Here is a 20,495-nt window from a genome sequence, read left to right as displayed (position 1 = left end):
GAAAAGGTAATAAAATAAAAATGAAGCCCATCAAAAAAGATGGCAGAGCCACTTTCCAATTCCTACCTTCCTGAAGCTCTATCAATTATTCACCCAAACTCAACTCTAAGAGATTCACTCTACTATCCCCAAATCTAAAGAGGAAAAAATTAAGTGGGTTTCTTACATTTTTTTCTCCTCTAATTTCAGCAGAGTGGAGATGGTAACTGCTACATGAAGCGACAGGAGATAAAAAATGTGGACAACGAGAACTAACTGTCCCTGGCAGAATGAGAAGACATTCTGCATGTTCTCAGGAGAGATTGCACAGCACAGGCATTATAGGGTGGCCTACGCGTAAACAACTTGGTGAGCTCACTTTCCTGCCCTGCTCTTTTGCTTACATGTGCCTATAGCCTGAAGAAAAGTGAACAGGACAGGAAATACCTGGTCCTCAAGGGGTAATACACAGGGGTCAGAAGGGTGTCAAGGAGAAATCACCCCAGTGGATCAGAGCCCCAAAGGCCACAGTCACCCAAACATATGCAAGATGGAATGAAACAGCATGGCAAGTGAGTAACATATCAGAGTAACACATGAATTAAAAATAGAGCATTATGTGGAAGAAAATGGGCCAAAACCAAAAATCTACAATCTCCAAGGAATAAACTAATAAGTGAGAAACACCAAGGAATAGAATTAACATGGCTCAAAATTATTTATATCCTAGGAAGCCTTCAGGTCATCAAGATAAAAGGCAAAACTTACAGAGAAAAATGATAGACATAGAGGAGAAAAAATATAATCCATCAGAAAGATTAATGAGTATTCCTGAAGTAGAGAACCCAGGCCAAAGTGTTTAAAGATCCAATACAAGAAAATATCCCTAAAATGAGCAAGCAACAGAGCTCTAAGTCAAAAGAGCATACTTCGTTTTTACAAAAAATGAATATGAAACAATTAACTGAAACATGTACCCTGGTTCAATAATTAAATTTCCAGTTCCAAGAAATAATTCTTCAAGCAGAACAAGCCAAGTTGCCTACAATGAGGGGAAAGTCAGTCATTGTTTTCAAAAGTATTTTAAATGCAAAAGATAAAGAAACAATTCCTCCAAAATTCTAAGGGGAATAAAGTATAGTGCATAAATATTACTCCTAGGGATGATATTGAAGTATAAAGGTAAGGTAATCATCAGATATTCTTGAACATGAAAAAAAACTAAAAAATTCATCGTTCAGGAGCCCTCCTTGAAAAGTCTTGACAATCTAGTCAGTGCAATGCATAAAATAAAGCTATCAGCAGTGCATACCAATGGGGGGGCCAGTGAAAATGGTTTGCTTCAGATGCAGGCAATAAAGGATGCAGTGTTTATAGAGAATTTTAAATTAGTAACAAAACCATTAAAAGTCTGTCTGTTTTTCACATCACCATGTGCAGGCAATTCTAAACAATGCAAATGATAAAATACCCCTCCCCTCTGCCAGGCAGTCTCCACTAAGCCCCTTGATCTGTTCCTCAATATCAGTACCAGGAAAGCCATAGGAAAAAGATTAGTACTGGGCACTGAATTCATTTAAATATAAAACTAATTTTAGGCTGGGCATGGTGGCTCACGCCTGTAATCCCAGCACTTTGGGAGGCCGAGGCAGGTGGATCACCTGAGGTGGGCAGCTTGAGACTAGCCTGACCAACATGGAGAAACCCCGTCTCTACTGAAAATACAAAATTAGCCGGATGTGGTGGCGCAGGCCTGTAGTCCCAGCTACTTGGGAGGCTGAAGCAGGAGAATCACTTGAACCTGGGAGGTAGAGGTTGTGGTGAGCTAAGATTGTGCCACTGCAGTCCAGCCTGGGTAACAAAAGCGAAACTCCGTCTCAAAAAAGAAAAAAACCAAACTAATTTTAAACAACTGAACATAACATTATATACTTCAACTATATGAAAATAACATAACTAATCAAAATCAAAGCTAGATTATAGAATAGAATGTAAATATTATATACTTGACTATGTGAAAACAGCAATGTAACTAACTAAAATCTAAAGGGAAGGAAGGAAGGAAAAAGAGTGAAAGTTCTTAATGACCTTATTTATCATGGCAGAAAGGAAGTCCATACTGTCTAGTATGAAAATGATAGCATCAGGATAACCTAAGTAATCTATGGTTAAAAACAAGTCCCAAGTCTCAGTGACCTAACCGATCAAGAGTTCATTTCATGCTCATACTCCCTGCACTGCAGGCCCATGGGGGTAAGGGCTGTGCCTTTCACGTGCCGGCTCTGCACTCTGTGCTGTGTTGATCTTATGCGCCCACCACATTAACATGAGCACCCAGGCTCACCAAGGTGATAGAAGAAAGGGTGAGACTGGAGACCCGGTAATTAAATGCATTCATCCATAATGGTCGTTTCTGCTCATGTTGTGTGACTAAAGCAAGCCACAAGGTCACATCTAACTTGAAGAGACTGAGCAAATATGATTCTCCTATATCCCAGAAGAGGAAGAAAACTGGGTGAACAGCAACAGTGCCTACCACAAAAACATAATTGGAAAAAAAAACACAAAATGAAAACCAGCAAGTTCTTATCTCTTTACTTAACCATAGAGGGGGAAAAAATAACATTTTTATGTGAAAAAATGTTTGTTCAAAGTTCAGTAATTCCTTAATTCTCACTTAGTTTTCTCCAGTTAAAATCAGGTAAAATTAAGTGTAATGGTTTTTACATTTAAAAATTAGTGTGTATAGCTGAGGCAGTGGCTCATGCCTATACACTTTGGAAGGCCAAGGGGGGAGGGTCGCTTGAGTTCAGGAGTTCAAGACTAGCCTGGGCAACATAGGGACACCCCTCAATCTGTACAAAAATAAAAATAAAAAATTAGCCAGGCATGGTAGTGCATGCCTGTGGTCTCAGCTACTTGGGAGGCCAGGGTGGAAGGATTGCTTGGGCCTGAGAGGTGGAGGCTGCAGTGAGCTGTGAGAGTGCCACTGCACTCCAGCCTGAGTGACACAGGGAGACCCTACCTCAAAAAAATAAATATAAATAAAAACTTAGCCTGTATCATATGATCACTCTTCTTTGAAAGCATATCTATCTCTCCATCCATCTATCTTCCCATCTGCAAACATGCTTAGGGTGGTATCTAACACAACGTTTCTTTAATATTAATGAGGCTTATTTTTAAATGATAGAATTTATGATTTGTTTCTTTTTACTTTTCTACATCCCTTGGATTCCTTATAATGAACACTTAGCATTTGTGTAACACAATAAAGTCATGAGAAGTTTTGCCACAAAGGCAAAAGAGCCTGCAGCCCAAGAAAGTCATAATGTGGCCCTGCTTCTAATATTTCTAAATCACAAATTCAGTGGCAGATGGCAAAAATTACATGTACTTCAAAACTACCTTTTGAAGTTAAAAGCAGAGTACAGATGTTGAGAGACAAAATTCCAAGTGCCTTGTCTGTTTACCAAAATGCTCAGATAACTATTGTAAGTTCAACATTAATGACAACACTGCTTCTTCACAGGTTATTAGCAAAAGACATTTAAGATTCCTTTATATAGAAGTCGTATATGTGAACATAATATTTTGCATTCTTCAGTCTTCCCCCTTTTCTAAATAGGGAAAATGAACTCCTTAATCACGTAATTATTTCCTACTGATGATTGTTCTCCAAAATTTTCAAAATTGTTTAAAAATACTTATAACTTTAGTTTCATCTTCAATATCAAATATATAAATATGTAAACAGATATTAAAGCTGAAGAAAACAAGGTGGCCTATGGTTCCTTGATATTATCTTTGCTGCTGTTTACTAAGTAATAAAGAGTATAGAGAAAGATTAAGAAGCTTCAATTGCATATTATAAACTATAAAATAACAATTCTGATGGACTTATGTTTTCCTTATTAATGCCAAACCTGCCTAGAAGAAGGGTAAGATTATCAGTAACGCTAAGAAGGCAGCTGACTTCAGGCATCAAAAGCATATTTCTTTCATGGAGTTCAGCTGTGTTGAGTGGCTTGGCAGTAAGACCAAAGAAATGAAAAAAGTATGGATGTCACGCAAATTTACCAAGCAAAATCCTTCAAAGCTGTGACTCAACAACAATCTTATAAATGAAACTTTCAGTTCTCTTATTAGCATCCTAGGAAGAGAGAGAGAAGGCAGGCTTTTAAATTTGCTGTCTTCCCAAAGCTGTAAGGGGCAGTGATATGGTGATTGACATATTAAGAATCAAAATAACTTCATTAGATTGATGGAATGATCCTAACAAGATTTGTCATGGGATAAATGTGATATCATCAAGTTAAAAAAATCAATCATAAATGTATACAATGTTTTCAACCTGGCTATAATGCTGTTCAGAAGGAAAGGTTCAGATGTTTTCACTGACTGCAAATACACTATCACCCTAGCAAAAAACCCAAAACCAACCAAAAACTTGACAGCAAACTTGGTTCCATTAACACACAAGTTTGGAATCAGGAACAAGGAAGATGACTGTCTCACAGAATCCACATCAATCAAACAGACCACTTCCAAATCAGTGACCTGACTGCATGTGATACAGACAGATGCAGGCAAAGCCTGATCACAGGGTCTACCCAAAGACGCTAACCTGCAAGCAGGTATTAACTCAGCATGAAAGCATGTGGCATATACCGCAGTGAACTAAGAGTTAAAGGAAGATGAGAGCTGTATCTTTCTTGTTCACAGCTAGCCCCTAGCACAATGTCTGGTAGGAAGCAGATCCCAAGAAGTATCGTTTAAGAGAGTAATTTAAAACACTTGTGGAGCAGTTGCATTTTGGGTAGCAGCTGCATTCCCCGTGCAGCTGCACATAATGCAAAACTAACCTGACGAAGCACAGGAGGTGCTGCCATGCAGATTCACAGATGGGAATCCCATTTGGCTTTGAAATTGTGTGATTCTTGATATGTTTTTAATTTTCTAGGATTTGCAATATTTCAAATAAAAAAAATTATTAAAAAATTTCATTCTTCAGAGACATGGTCTTGCTATGTTGCCCAGGCCAGAGTGCAGTGGCTGTTCACAGGTACAATCCCACTACTGATCAGCACAGGAGTTTTGACCTGCTCCTTTTCTGGCCTGGGGTGGTCCACTCCTCCTTAGGCAACCTGGTGGACCCTGCTCCCAGGAGGTCACCATATTGATGCCGAACTTAGTGCAGACACCCATCTGCATAGTGCACTACAGCCCAGAAGTCCTAGACTCAGGTGACCCTCCTGCCTCAGCCTCCTGATTAGCTGGGACTCCAGGCACAGGTTAATGTGCCTGGCAATGTTTCAAATTTTGTGCCTAAAGTGAGAATTCAGTGAAGAATTTTATTAGTGAATTCAAATATGCCCAATCTCACATAAAATACAATGGCACCCTGAAGACAGACATATTGATTTAGCAAATATTAATTGAGGCCTGCTATATTGCCAAGTACATTTTAGGTGCTAACGATACAGAAATGGGCAAATTTAGCTATTTCTGTAAATTGTTTGGAGATTGTCTAAAGCATCTCTGTGAAACTTAGGCTTCAACACGACCTTTTCTAGACCAACTCACTTATTTCAATGAAGGAGATAAAGTCAAGAGAATTAAAGTCACTTGCTTAGTCTCATGATTACTGTGGAGCTCAGTCAGTAATAGAGTGATTTGCAGATGATTATCCTAGCAAGTATTCAGTACCTACTTAGTTCAGTACCTACTTAGTGTTGCAAATAAGCAGGTGAAGGGGCATATTTATAAAGGACTGCAGAAATAACATAGGCTTATCCTTAATAAATATTCTTTTAATCTCCTTGTTAACATTCTCAAAATCAAACAGTTTTCCAGATTCTGTTTTTATATATGTTTAACCAAAATTTTCTTTTAAAAGTTTCCTTTAAAAGAAGCAGGTGCATGTGTGTGTGAGAGAGACTGAAAAAAAGTTTAACAAAACAAAAAATACTTACCTTCACTACCTGCTACCTTCTTTTATTTTAAATTGATTTCATGTTCCACTAACAGGTAGCAAGGTTTGACCAACACTGTTCTAGAGCAGATTCAGCTGGCTAATTCTTACTCTACATTCAATAATTAGCTCACATGTCATCTCTTCGAAGAAGCTTTCTGGGAGCCTTCCAAGCGTAAATCAGCCATCCTCTTCTTGGAGGGCCTGAAATAAGTGACAGCGAAGATTCGAGGAAGGGGCAGATTCAGGTGAGAGTAGGTGGTGGCACTGGGATGCCTCTCTCTGCCACGCCTGAGCTCCACATTGAAGCAGGAGCCTCTAGAACCCGTGGCAGGCTCTCCCCACCACTGGTCAATTTCCTGTGCACCCAGCATTTCCTGGCACATCAGGAGTGCTCCATAAGCAACTGTTGAAATAACCGCCGGGCGTGGTGGCTGATGCCTGTAATCCTAGCACTTTGGGAGGCCGAGGTGGGCGGATTGCCTGAGGTCAGGAGTTCAGGACCACCCTGCCAACATGGTGAAAACCCCTCTCTACTAAAATACAAAAAATCAGCCAGGTGTGGTGGCGGGCACCTGTAATCCCAGCTACTCAGGAGCCTGAGGCATGAGAATTGCTTGAACCTGGGAGGCAGACATTGCAGTGAGCCAAGATCATGCCATTGCACTCCAGCCTGGGTGACACAGCGAGGCTCCATCTCAAACAACAACAACAACAACAAAAAACCAAAACTTTAGGGAGCTGATGAAAGAGCTGACCCTAAAAGCAAATAAAAGAGCCCATCCATCAGAGGCTGCACAGTGGTAGCAATGGACTGAATTTGGCCCGTAGATGTGTTTCATTTGGCCTGTCCAGTTCAAAAAACTACAGAAAGAGCATTTAAAAATTGAGAGGTTTCACAAAATTCCAGATTTGTAGCTTTGCTTGTCAGCTCACCAGAGCCATCCTCATCCTGGCTACCCCCAGCATCCACTCTCCTACCACGCATGAGAAAGCCCAGTCACTGAGCTGATCTCCCGGGTCCAGGAACTTGCAAGCCTTATAGGGGTTTGATTTCTGCCTCCTGTACCAGATAATGGTAGAAAATCCTACACAGCATAATAGTCTAAAGCTTGGTGGATGAGCCTCCAGCCAGCTGGGGGAAGGAGAGCATAACAAAACAGACTCTTTTCACTCAAGGCAGCACAAACCCTCCCATGTGTCTGTGGTCTTTTCCCAGGGGTAAAAGACTGCCTGAGATAACTGTCTTTCCTCTCTCTGGAATGACATTGAAAAAAAAAAAAAAGGTGAAATCATAGGAAATAAGGACCAGAATTAGAACATTTTATTTTTCCTTGTATCCTTTGGCATCAAATAACACTATTTTTCACAGATGGGTTTTCAATAAACTTCGGAGCAAGGCTGTGGAAAATTTTTTAAATGCTGTATGGGTCTTAAAATGCCAGTTGTTCACATATAAAAATGTGTTTCCTCCCATGAACACATCCCCCTGGAAAGCTCAATCACTCCCGATCAAAATGACTTCCAATCAAAATCCAAACATATTTTTAAAAATAGAAATTGACAAGCTGATTCTAAAATTTATAAAGAAATGTGAAGACCTTAGAAGAGCCAAAATAATTTTGAAAAAGAATGCAGCTGGAATAATTACACTCCCTGATTTTAAGACATCCTAAAGCTATAGAAATTGACAGTGGGTATTAGTGAAAAGGTAGACAAATAGATCAATAAAACAGGAGAAAGTTCAGAAATAGATTTACACCCATGTGGAAACCTTTTGACAAAGGTGCAAAGGCAGTTCAATGGAGAAAGGATAGTTTCTTCAACAAGTGATGCTAAAACAACTGACTCTCCATACGCACAAGCACACATGTGCATACACACATGCAGACATACACAAGAATTTAAGGCATACCCCATATCATACACAAAAATTAATTCAACATGGATCATAGACCCAAATGGAAAACCTAAAACTATGGAACGTCTGGAAGAAAACATAGATGAATTATTTGCTTAGCTTAGGCAAAGACTTCTTTAAAATGGCACCATACTAAAAGCATGATCCATAAAAGAATAAATTGATAAGCTGGATGTCATCAAAATTTAAAACTTCTGCTATTTGAAAGACACTGTTTAGAAAATTAAAAGACAAACCACTGACTAGGAAAAAATATTTGCAAATCATATCTTGTAAAGGACTTGTATACATATATATATACAAATAATTCTCAAAGCTTAACAAAAATAACCCAATTTTTTAAATGGGCAAAGATTTGGACAGACACTTCAGCTAAGAAGATACATGGATGGCAAATAAATACTTAAAAAGACACTCAACATCACTCACTAGAGAAATGTAAATTAAAATCACAATGCAATACCACTCTACTCAAATTAGAATGCTTGCCAGTCACAGAAAGACAAATACTACATGATTCCACTTATTTGAGGTATCTAATATAGTCAAACTCATAGAAACGGAGAATAGTGGTTGCCAGGAGGGAACCACTACTGGGGGAAGGGGGAAATGAGGAGTTGCTGTTCAACAGGTATGCTTTCATTTATGCAAGATGAGTAATTTCTAGGGATCTGTAACATTGTACCTATACTTAACAATACTGTATTGTGTAGATCTCATGTTAAGTGTTCTTACCACAATAAAATTGGTTAAAATAAAGAAGACTGAAGACAATGTTGGCATAGATATGGAAGAAACGGAACTCTCATACACTGCTGATAGAATCATAAAATGGGACAAACACTTTGGAAAATGATTTGGTAGTCACTTAACACGTTAAACATACATCTACCATATAGTCTAGCCATTTCACTTCTAGGTGTTTAATAAAGAGAAAAGAAAGCCCATGTCCATGCAAAGACTTGTAAATGAATGTTCCCGGCAGCTTTATTTGTAATAGCCGACGAAACAAATGTCTGTCGACAAGTGAATGCATAAACAAACTATGGCATATCTGCAAAATGAAATACTGTCCTACATTAAAAAGGGACAAAGTATTAATATGCACTTCAACATGGACAAATCTAAAAATAATTATGCGGAGTGCAAGTTGCCAGACAAAAGAGAATGCTGTAGAACTCCATTTATGTGAAATTCTAGGAAATGAAACCAACACATAATGACAGAAGGCAGATCCGTGTTTGCCTGGAGATGGGGGTGATGGGAAGAAGGAATTATAGAGGGACATGAGAAAACTTTTAGGAGTGTTGGATAGGTTCATCATTCTGACTGTGGCAATGGTTTCATGGGTGTATAAGTGTGTGGAAACATCAAATTACATACTAAGAACTTGTGCAGTTTACTGTATGTCAATTATACCTCAATAAAGCTGGGGGTTTTTTTGGGTTTATTTTGTCCCCTTCTTGTCCCTGGCCCCACTTCACTGGGTTAGGTCCTGTTCCCTAGACTCTCCCAGAATACTGCAGGATGGCCATCACAGTCTTGATCACTGTGGATAGTTTTCATCTAATTATTAGGTTGAGTCATTTGAAATTGCCAATATTCTACCATTTCTGGTCTACAACAATGGCAGTTTCACATGGCTCAACCTAACACTTGCTTGCCAGCCATACCTGACAGTGAGCTCGCTGAGGTCTGGGAGTGTCTGGTTCAGCGATGTTTGCTGTGTGAAGATGGTGATACTCTGAAAGTTCTCTCCAGCCACTTCTCTGTTGGGTTATCATAAGGAGCTGAGAAAAAGACTCCGTGGGCCCTGCCTTACAGCCTTCTCCCTTTCATCCATTTAAAAATCACTCAAACACCCGGTACTGTAAGACCTCCTTTTTGCACAGTTTTAAAACTTCCCATTTGGAAATCATCTTTCAAAGCAACAGAAACACACCCCTAGGCTGCTGGAAGCAGAGGATATAGCTTTGAAAATGTAAAAAGTATTAAACGTTTAAAACAACTATAAATCACAGGAAGACTTGGGATCCTGACATCTCTCCGAGGAAAAATTCCAGAGGCTGCAGCACTTTAAAATAATATCATGTGCTTTGGTTCTAGTCTTGGCTGCTTCTCCCTTGGAACAACAAAAAGAATCGTGCCAGCTATTAAAGGCGGTTTTGTTATATAATGCAGTTAATCTCACATACTCTTCCCTGTGGGATTTAACCCAAGTTTCACAGCGGTCTATTTTATTTAGCATTGATAGTTTTATTCATTTCTTATTAAAGAAATCTTTCCACAAAATTGGCTGCTCTCTCAGCCTTGGCTTGAGAAGGAAGAATATCTGAATTAAAAATCTGTGCAACAGATGGACCTCAGTTACAAAGAATATCTCTGGCTTCAGAAGTCCCTCATAGAGGCAGGTGTCAAGCATGTTAATAAGTTCCGGGCTTTCAGATTTTCCTGAAGACAGTTCAGCCCTGCCATTCATGTACTTTATAGGTAGAAGAGAAAATAAAAGCACAGAATTCCAAAAATACTTGTCAGATTCTAGGGATGTATTTGTCTCACTTTTTGTTCATTTAAAAGGAACTGTGCTTGTATTAATGGGGAAGACAAAACCATCAGGGAGATGGAAGGAGGAGGCCATGTTGCCGATATGCCTGTCTTCCTCTGTGGCATCAAAGGGTCTGAAAAGTTAGGGAGAGAGGTACTGGACATCCTGCTTGCCCTTTTTTGGTGTCAGTGGCTCCACCTTTTGCCGGAAAGAGGTTAAGCAAAATAGGTTCTCATAGCCTAATACTGCTGTGCTTCTCCTAGGCTTAGCCAGCCCTATGTTTTATCTCCTAGCTATTGGGTGGATAACAGAGAAGAGAAATAAGAGAAGTCATTTCCCTCTCCGCTGTATGACAAATATGACACATGCTCCATTCCAAGCTTAGAAACAGTTTCCAACACAGCCCCTTCCAGTTCAGAGAGTTTTGAAATAAGTGTGCTCCCTCCTCCTATCATTTTAAAACAAGGAGAAAGGAAAACAAAGGAAACACTTTTACTCTTAAAGCCATCGCCACAAGATAGGTATCACCATCATCTTCTCCCAAGGGGTCACTAATATTTGGAGAAGCTGAATAACTTGCCCCAAATCACTCAGACTAGTAAGTGACAGAGCCTGTCTGGCTCCAGGTCTTTCTGGCTCCAGAGTCAGTGCTCTTCTAGATGATTCTCTATGTCTTGCTAAGTCTCTGGTTAGATGAATGTTGACAAATCTCTTGAGTGAGAAAGAGGATTACTGGGCAGTAATTTCGGGCTAGTTCAAGTATAATTCCCAGACTATGCAGATACCAGAGACATCTAAATGATTGAGCCTAGAACCAACGCGGGAAGAAAATGACTACAGAGAAGAGTGCTCCCTTAATTCATTTTACAGCCTGAGGGAAACTGCCCTCATCAAATAGTTTTGGGGTTAGATGTACTTTAACAAAAAATACCAACAGCAAAAACTTATTTTCATGATCGATTTGGAACAAGCCCCATGTATTAATGAATATATACTTGTGAAAACTATCTGAGCAAAAAGATAATGTAAACATTTAATTGGCAAAAAGACGGGTGGTCCAAAGAGACAGCTGTAATTCACTCCGCCTCCCTCTGCATGCTTCACTCTGTCCAGGGGCAGCTTTTACCTCCTGCTGGGCTATCACATTCCATGGACAGAAGGGCCATTCCCCCTGGGCAGGAGACACAGACACCACAATCAGCATTTAAAGTTCTGGTAAATAAACATTATCACTTCTAAGAGTGACTGGCTTCAGGAATACCACTCGGCAGAAGGCTAGGTTTCAGCTTCAGCTCGGATAATGTATCATAGAATGATGCATTCTAATGCATTCTTCGGTGTTAACACGACAGTTCCCTAAGTAAACTGAACTCTAGTAAATATACTCTTCAAAGCAATTTTTTGACTTCTTTTCCAGCAGCAAGGTACTTCTTTTAAAAGGAAAGAAATAAGCAAAACAACACAAAAACCCCATGTAATATTCTTTTAGCCTGCTTCCTGGTAGTGTGTGTGTGTGTGTGTGTATGTGTGTGTATGAGTGTGTGTGTGTTTTCCAAAGAGCACAGAAGCAGCTTTTATGGTTAGAAAATTGAAGTGCTATCAAACCTAGGAAATTATAGGGATGAAAAATGAAACAGCTTATCTACATATGTCCCATCTGCTTTTGGCTTTGTGTTTTGCACAATCCATTACTGGAAGCATTGGAAAGTATGCTGAGACACTGAAAATGAGACCGGGGTGTGTCCTACAGCAGCCTAGAGGTGAGGGTAACATTGCCACTGAGCTTACACCAAAACTCACAGACTCAAAGGAGAGTTTCCAGGAAACATCAAAGTAGGGTATTACAAATAAAAACAAAACACACACCAAACGGAGCCAGTGTTTTGGAACACGGTAAAAAGCAGCTTTCCATTCACTGGGGAAACGCCATGTATTTCATTATTTTGTCAGTTTGGGTCACTGTGTTCTCCACAACTCAGCATTTTTACTGCAGAGAGTTGTTCCCAAGCTGCTTCAACTGTAGACTCTCTGATATTTGACAATTTCCCGGCCTGTGCAGCTAGGTTTTAATGATTCGAGTTCCTTCTAGTACAGTCTCTTTAGACTTCTCCATTCCAACAGCCTTGCTTCTTTCTCTTCTGACTATTACTCACTCCACTTCCCACCTCTATTACCTACTTGCAGGCTCTCCCTGAATTCTCAACACAATCATTATCTCCACTTCTGCGTGAACCACAGGCAAGGAAAAATACCTTACTTCTAAAAAGACAAAGTTAGACACGATGAGAACAGCAATGGATTCACACTTCAAGTAAATAAATGCCTGAACTGAAGAGGTATTATAGTGAATGAACATTCTTTGGCTGGAAGAACTTAGTGGCAGAGAATTCTTAAAAGAAAAAGAAAACAGCTTTCTACCCTGTTGATCCAACCAATTAATGAAAGTACAACATTAGTAGAAGTAATTTGAAAAAATTGTTTTAGTCTAAGGGTAGGAAGTGAAAGGGGATGGAGCTAACTTATTAATCCATTAATCACTCTTTTGGTGTATTCATTAAGAGGGTCAGAGGAACAGGCCTTTGGGAGTCTATAAACCAAATCAACAATGCTAGCATATTCTTCTTCCTCTTCTTTTTTTTTTTTTTTGTTTTTGAGACAGAGTTTCGCTCTTGTTTCCTAGGCTGCAATGCACTGGCACAATCTTGGCTCACTGCAACTTCCACCTCCTGGGTTCAAGCGATTCTCCTGTTTCAGCCTCCTGAGTAGCTAGGATTACAGGCACCTGCCACCACGCCAGGCTAATTTTGTATTTTCAGTAGAGACATGGTTTCACCATGTTGACCAGGCTAGTCTCGAACTCCTGACCTGGTGATCCTCCTGCCTTGGCCTCCCAAAGTGCTGGGATTACAGGCATGAGCCACCGTGCCCGGCCAATGCGAGCATATTCTTAAATGAGTATATTTTGTTTGCATAAATCATCATGTTCATTAGTCTGCTGTTGTAAGGAGATGACAATCCATGAAATCATAAAACTGATTTCCATTTTGGAGCAATTGCACAGAGATTTGAAAGAAAAAATTTGATTTATCTATGTCTAGAGAAAAATATTTCTCTTGCTGATACAATACTCTAATTACATTGGCTTAATCATTACAGAGTGTTAATATATGCAGAAGTTCTTAGATATACTTTTACATGGATAAAGGAAGTACCATCAAGTATCATTAAACATTTCTAGACTCCAATGAGAAACAAAAAACAGAATAATCCAATAGAGACAAAACCCAAAAGGTGACTGCATGTAACACTGAACTCCCTCCCATGGCCTCTTTTTGGGAACTTGTCCCATCACTACTTTTTCCTCCTCCCAAACAGTCTGCTTCTCTATTGCTTATGAAGAAGGAGCCCAGGATCACCACTAGGATGAGGTCTGGAGTTGCCCATGCCTGGAGTTGCCCATACCAAGCCTTGTCTCAGCTTCATGGCAACAATTCACTGTGGTACAAAGAGGATGCAGTATCGGGATGTGGGGGTTGTCAAGGCTCATTTCTGTAAGAAATGATGTAACCTCCTCCTCTAAAGACAACAGGAAGATTTTTCCATCTTACTCCAGGCTCTGAGACTGTGGTTGATTTTGCCTCTTGATTGGTGAAAGCCATTGTTCCCCAAGGCAAATGACAAATTTCCCTTTTTTGCAGTGCTCTGGCTGTCCACAGTAATTCTAAGGGAGTGGCAGGGTAGGATGGGGCATCAAGCCTAAAGAAGAAAAGGCCTTTCAATTCTTTTTGTGCCACTGACTCATTGCTGTCTACATCTTTTTTTTTTTTGAGACTGAGTCTTCCTCTGTCACCCAGGCTGGAGTGCAGTGGCGCAATCTCGGCTCACTGCAGCCTCTGCCTCCCAGGCTCAAGCAATTCTCGTGCCTCAACCTCCCAAATAGCTGGGATTGCAGGCGCCCACCACCACACCTGGCTAATTTTTGTATTTTTAGTAGAGATGGGGTTTCACCATGTTGGCAAGGCTGGTCTCGAACTCTTGGCCTCAAATGATCCACCTGCCTTGGCCTCGCAAAGTGCTGGGATTACAGGCATGAGCCACCACACCTGGCCTGCTGTCTACATCTTGATGTTCACATCCCTTAAAGAGTGGAAACCCAACTGACTCCCTACCGTCCTGCAACACCACAAGGAAGAGGCTGTGCCCCTCTCAAAAGCTGTCCAGATTTTCTTTTCCCTGTCATTGTCAATCCTCTCTGTTTCTCTACCTTTCTTCTTTGGTCTAGTTTCATGCAGGGTATGAGATATTCTTAGAATACCATCTTGGCCCTCCAGACCATATGTTCCAATTTTCATGTGGCAACAGATATAAGCAAAACAACTAAAAGGCACGTTGGCTAGCAGTCACAGCAGGAAGGATAATTAATCAAGTTACATGGTGTGTTTCTTTTTAGTTTTCCACTGAGAGGTAGCTATGGTTCAACAGAGGGACTAGGGGACTGGGAGTCAGAAGCCATCAGATGTTTCATGATCCAGTACATGACCTAGAGACCGATGTGCCAGCTCTCTGGTCTCACCTTCCAAACCTGTAAAATGAAGAGGTTGAACGAGCTTAGGAGCTGAAAATGCCAATGTCTACAGGGGCCTGGTAGGGAATATAAATGAGTATAGAACACAGAGCTATGCGGGCTGGGGAGAACTGGGGCAGGCATGCCCCATCTCAGGGGACAGTGGCAGCTCAGAAGCAACCAACTGTCGCCCTGAAAGAAGGGTCCAATGTCTTCACATCTGCTAATCTTTGAGGAGCAGCCATGGGTCTATATTTTAGGTAAAATCTCTGTTTTAATAGTGTCAACTAATTAAAACGATTTTTAAATGCTGTGAGCCATGCAAAATGTGTCTGCAAGCTGGCTACAGCCCTCAGGGGCACAGTCTTTGGCCTCTGCATCAGGCAGTGTCTCTAAGCTCTCTTTAAGAGCTAACATCCTATGATCTACTCTAGAGCATGTTTTTACAGCAAAATCTCCTTCCTGATGAATGGCTATTTGATAATGCAGCCAGAAATGACACAGCGTGGGACTGCAGGTGACAGGACAGAGCTGGGATTTGATCTGGAGCTCAGGGGCAACGGGAAACCAAGAGGGACTGGGCATGGGGGTGATATCTGAGAGAAATGGGGCATGATCCAATTTACATTTTCACAAATCCATCCCGACTGCTGTGGGAAGAATGAACTGAAAAGAAGAACCACTATACTTGGTCAAGCCAGTGTGGCAAACACATGAGCACCAGCTAAGTGGCAAGCGATGGGGAAATCTGGCCCCTGGGCTGCATAAAGTCCTGGCCCAGTGATGCGTCTTCTCAGAGGGGAGCATGCTTTTTTTTCTTTTTTTTTTTTTTGAGACAGAGTCTCGCTCTGTTGCCCAGCCTGGAGTGCAGTGGTATGATCTCGGCTCACTGCAAGCTCCGCCTTCTGAGTTCACGCCATTCTCCTGCCTCAGCCTCCCAAGTAGCTGGGACTACAGGTGCCAACCACCGTGCCCAGCTAATTTTTTGTATTTTTTCTTTTTTAGTAGAGATGGGGTTTCACCGTGTTAGCCAGGATGGTCTCTATCTCCTGACCTTGGGGAGCATGCTTTTTCTATATCAAGGTGCCCTGCAGGTTTTCTAGCCATGGGGCAGGGGTAAACCAAGATGGCAAGCTAGAAAGTTCCTACAGGGGAGGGATGATGATGATTCTTGAACTCAGATGGAGGCAGTGGCTGTGGAGGAAAAAAAAGACAGGCTCCAAAGATATTGAGGAGGTAGAATGGACATCTGTTTGTGACTGATTAAATACAGGGGCAAGACAGAGGGAAGCATCAAAGGGGGCTGATGGTCCAGTTTCTACCTTGAATGACTGGGTGGCTGGTATGGAAAAGACTGAAGGAGGAGCAGGTAGACATGGGAAGCAGAGATGACTTTTGAACATGTGAAGCATGAGATGCCTGAGTGATATGAGAGTGAAAAACGTCAAGTCAATGACTAGATTTGCAGAACCCACATGGGTCTGAGTTAGAGAATCAATCCCTTCGAAATCTGGAGTATTCTTTGCTCGTTATTTTTGAAGTCTTCTGTTGGCTAACTCTAATATGAAAAGAAACAGTTAGTCTATATACTGAAGAAGATTTTTCACTGATTCTCCTTCGGTTATGTGGTGCAACCCACAGTCAGCTCCCTGCCCTCTTACGCACACCAAGTAACAAGTACTTCTATAGTGTTTGCCCTAACAGGCATTGTTCTGAGTATTTACCATGTGTTAGCCTGCTTACCTCTCACAATTGCCCTGAAGGATAGCTATCATATTCACTTTCTTTTTTTAGATTTTCTTTATATTCACTTTCTTAAATGAGGAAACTGAGGCACAGAGAGATGAAGTAACTTGCCTTGTGTGAACAGGCCAGAGATGTTTAATCAGAATTTGAACCAAGTAATCTGGCTTCTGAGTCATGCCTTTAACCACCACACATTAAGCTTTGCTGCCTCTTCAAACGTCAGAAATGGTATTCAAGGCTACTTTTAGTTCTCACTCTTCCACATTAAATACCCCTGCTCCTTGCTTGAGCTGGTTTCTAGATGTTCCCCTCCTTCATTAGCCTTATTTTCCTGCTCTTGAGCAACTAAAGTTTGCTGGCTTGGACCATGTGTATGAATGAGTCTTCTCTTCTGGATGAAGGGCAGGAACCAGGCCCTGTGTTTATTCCTTCTGAATCCTTTATAAAGCTGCCAAGAGTACGCACACAGAGCAAGCCCTCATAGGCGGACAGGGCGGGCCAAGTAGGGATAATAGGCCTGCCCACATGGGTGACATGAGTCAGCTGGGAATATACTTTTATCTGTCACAACCTTAATTAAGGGAAAAGGCCTTATTTTGTAAAATACTGGCCTTGTAGCTAGAAATGTCAACATAATGAATTGGCTAATTGTTCTTTCTTGCTGCTGATCTTCGCCAGTGCGGTCTCTAGATCACAGCATTGAAGCTGGAAGGCACCTTACCTGGTTGCACTCTATGACAGGACTGACCTATGCTATGGCACGAATGCTGTGGGGCCAGGCCGCCTCTCACGAGGTTTTGGATCATGCTCTGTCTCTTTGGGAGGATTTCTCAGGGACAGAGTCTCCCCAGTTCTCTCACCCTGTGGTTTTCCTTCCTGTCCTGTTCCTTAGGGGCTGATAAGTGTCAGAGAACAGCCACTGTCTGCTCCCTGCCAGGGGTCTGGGGACACTCCTTTCTGTTGTCACTGGGTCACTCCTCGCCCCACCCCTTGCCCCCTCTGCAGATATTTCTAACTCATAAACCCCTGCATGCCTCCTCTGCCAACTGGCCTCTATCACTCCCACGGTTTTTGTTCCTCCCCACCTCCCACCCGCTAGTATGTCAAGACAAAACCCGTCTAGGAAGGGAGCCTAACCAGAAGACACAGGTCACCTGGCCTGCACAGCAGCTCCATCCCTGCCAAGGAAATGGAGGCCTCAGGCAACTGAACTTACAGAAGACATTGGTCCTAAGGGTTGCCCCTGGGAAGGGGCTAGGGAGTGGGGAGTGGGGAGGTGTGAAGGAGAGGCTGCCTTTTCACTAGGTACCTTTTTGTATCCCATCTTCTTCAAATATAAATACTTAGATTTTCAGCAATAATCTAAGTCTCCTAGCTCTGTTTCCAAGTGCATTAAATAACCTTCAGATAATAGTCTGGCTCTTCACACAAGGTTTTCCACAGAGAGAAAAATATGCTGACCTGCAAGCATGCATGTTCGTGTCCTTGTAGGAGGAATTTTTATCTTAACCCATTAACAAACAGGTGTTCTGATTTATACATCGGTTCATGAATCTGTTTCTCCTATCTCTTTTCCGAGCCTGATCTGCTCTGGGTCTGGGAATCCCTTGGTTTGCGAAGCTGAGGACCAGACCTGGCGGGGGGAACCCTGGCAGAGCCCTGCCCATCCACAAGGCACCGCTGCACGGCCAGCAGCCTTCCTCTGGTCTTGGAAAGCAGCTTTTCTTCTTATGACAGGTTAAGGTTGCAACAGTAGTAGCAACAGCTCCCATATTCTGGGTCCCCAAGAGAAGGCAGGCCAACAGGATCCCTGACTGGCTGTAGAATGACCAAGTGCGAGGAGAGTGTCATGCATTCCCAGCCTGAGCTTCCTGAAGAAGGAATGTGAGCCATCAAATGGAAAACCAGTTGAGAAATCTAAGGGCCACCGAGAGTGGATTCGAAGGCCCCAACCTGCTTTATGATGAGGTGCTCCTCATCTGATGCGTGTTTGTGGTTGAGGAGTAGGGGAAGAAAAGGGAAAAATATGTCATGAAGAAGAGGAAAAGAAGGATGACTAAGAAGGGGCAGGCAGGTTTCCACCAAGAAAGAAAATTCAGCCCGCCAACCATAAAGAATGAAATGGCGACAGCCACTGTGACCTTGGAGGAGTTGCTTAACCTCTGTTGCCTCTGTTTCCTTTTGTGGAAAATGAGAATAACGACAGCATCGACCTCAAATGGTTGTTCCACTGATTCAACAGGGTCATAGACGTAAAGCACTTTGCCTGGTTAAGCTCCACGTTCCCTGTCCCGAACCCGACTCCACAACACAAGCACACACACAGCTGAACATAGACAGCTCTTGGGCATTGAAAACACACTTCAAAAACCTCAGAGCCACTTGGGGAGAGACCTGGCTGGAAGTCACAGTCTCTTGAAGGACCAGATCTGAGTCTCCGATGGACCTCCTTCCAAATTAGGAGACAGTGACAGCGACTAGGAGAGACTTAAACAATCATCTGGTCTAATACCTTTTATATTTGTGCACCATGAATGAGCCAAATGAGATTAAGATACAATGAGAAAAAAAAAGGTATTACTTTAAAAATACTATATTTGTAAAATTATTCAGTAAAGTTCTACAGGACTAAGCCCTCTAATTCCTGGCAAGCAACCACTTCTCCAAAGGCAGACCTCTGATTTCAGATCACTAGTCCTCTCTTCCAAGGCTTGAACCCTGCTACGTCGTCGCATGACCTTGCAAGTAAGTCTTAGCAGAAACCGTCTCACATTTTTTAAGCCTATGACTCTAGTGCACAGACGAGTGCAGGGAGTAGGTGATGGTAAACTCCACCTGCTGCACCCCCGTTCCCCATCCATTGTCATTCTACAGGGATGGGAAGTCTCCTGCCTAGACAGGTGAACTGGGTAGAAACAGAAGAACTGCTGAAAGCCATTGCACTAGAGCCGCACTACCCAATATGGCAGCCACTAGACATGTGTGGCTACTGAGCACTTGAAATGATCTGTGTCTGAATTGAAGTGTGCTCTAAATGTGAAGTGCACACCAGATTTTGAAGGCTTAGTATAAAAGAAGCATAAAATATCTCATTAATAATTGTTTTCTGGCAGGGTATGGTGGCTCACGCCTGTAATTCCAGCACTTTGGGAGGCTGAGGCAGGCAGATGACTTGAGGTCAGGAGTTTGAGACCAGCCTGACGAACATGGTGAAACCCTGCCTCTACCAAAAATCCAAAAAAAAAAAAAAATTAGCCAGGCATCACGGCACACGCCTGTAATCCCAGCTACTTGGGAGGCTGAGGCAGGAGAATTGCTTGAACCACAGAGGCGGAGGCTGCAGTGAGCTGAGATCGCACCACTGCACTCCAGCCTGGGCGACAGAGCAAGACTCCATCTCAAAAAATAAGTAAATAAGTAAATAAATAAATAAAATTAAGCCTTTAAAAAATAATAATCTATTCCTTTCATGTTGAAATAATAATACTTTGAATATACTGGGTTAAATAAAATATATCATTCAAATTAATGTTACATATTCTTTTTACTTTTTAAAATGTAGCTACTTCCAAATGTAAACCACATATGTGGCTCCAATTGGTGGCTTGCATGATATTTCTATTAGATAGCCCTACTCTAGAATCAGCTTTCTGTGTTCTTTCTGTTTCACCATTACCACTACTATCCTCATGGTTTATCCTTATTCTTCACAGGAGTGAGCAGTGACACCAGGGCAAGCTAACTAGCTATTCCTGGGCCTTTGTAA

The 20,495-nt window shown here is 41.7% G+C and overlaps 1 protein-coding gene and 1 pseudogene across 5 annotated transcripts in view, besides 2 other annotated features; both read right to left on the bottom strand.

Moving 5' to 3' along the window:
• Nucleotides 1-20,495, bottom strand: part of CRADD (CARD and death domain containing adaptor protein) — a 217,466-nt gene that overhangs the window by 58,477 nt on the left and 138,494 nt on the right. The window lies entirely within an intron of this gene.
• On the bottom strand, nucleotides 4,992-5,288 carry RN7SL630P (RNA, 7SL, cytoplasmic 630, pseudogene; annotated as a pseudogene).
• Nucleotides 11,246-11,981: an enhancer, noted in NCBI's record as "OCT4-NANOG-H3K27ac hESC enhancer chr12:94218159-94218894 (GRCh37/hg19 assembly coordinates)". NCBI's record gives its function as "activates a minimal SCP1, AML or CMV promoter by ChIP-STARR-seq in primed H9 embryonic stem cells {active_cell/tissue: H9 hESC(primed)}" and the evidence as "EXISTENCE:reporter gene assay evidence [ECO:0000049][PMID:30033119]".
• Nucleotides 11,437-11,731: an enhancer, noted in NCBI's record as "tiled region #9094; K562 Activating non-DNase unmatched - State 7:EnhWF". NCBI's record gives its function as "activates a minimal TATA promoter and a strong SV40 promoter by Sharpr-MPRA in K562 cells {active_cell/tissue: K562}" and the evidence as "EXISTENCE:reporter gene assay evidence [ECO:0000049][PMID:27701403]".

This window comes from Homo sapiens, chromosome 12 (assembly GCF_000001405.40).
Source record: "Homo sapiens chromosome 12, GRCh38.p14 Primary Assembly".
NCBI classification, from domain to species: domain Eukaryota; kingdom Metazoa; phylum Chordata; class Mammalia; order Primates; family Hominidae; genus Homo; species Homo sapiens.
Note: the sequence above shows the minus strand (reverse complement) of the source record. Positions and strands in the feature narration are given on the sequence as shown.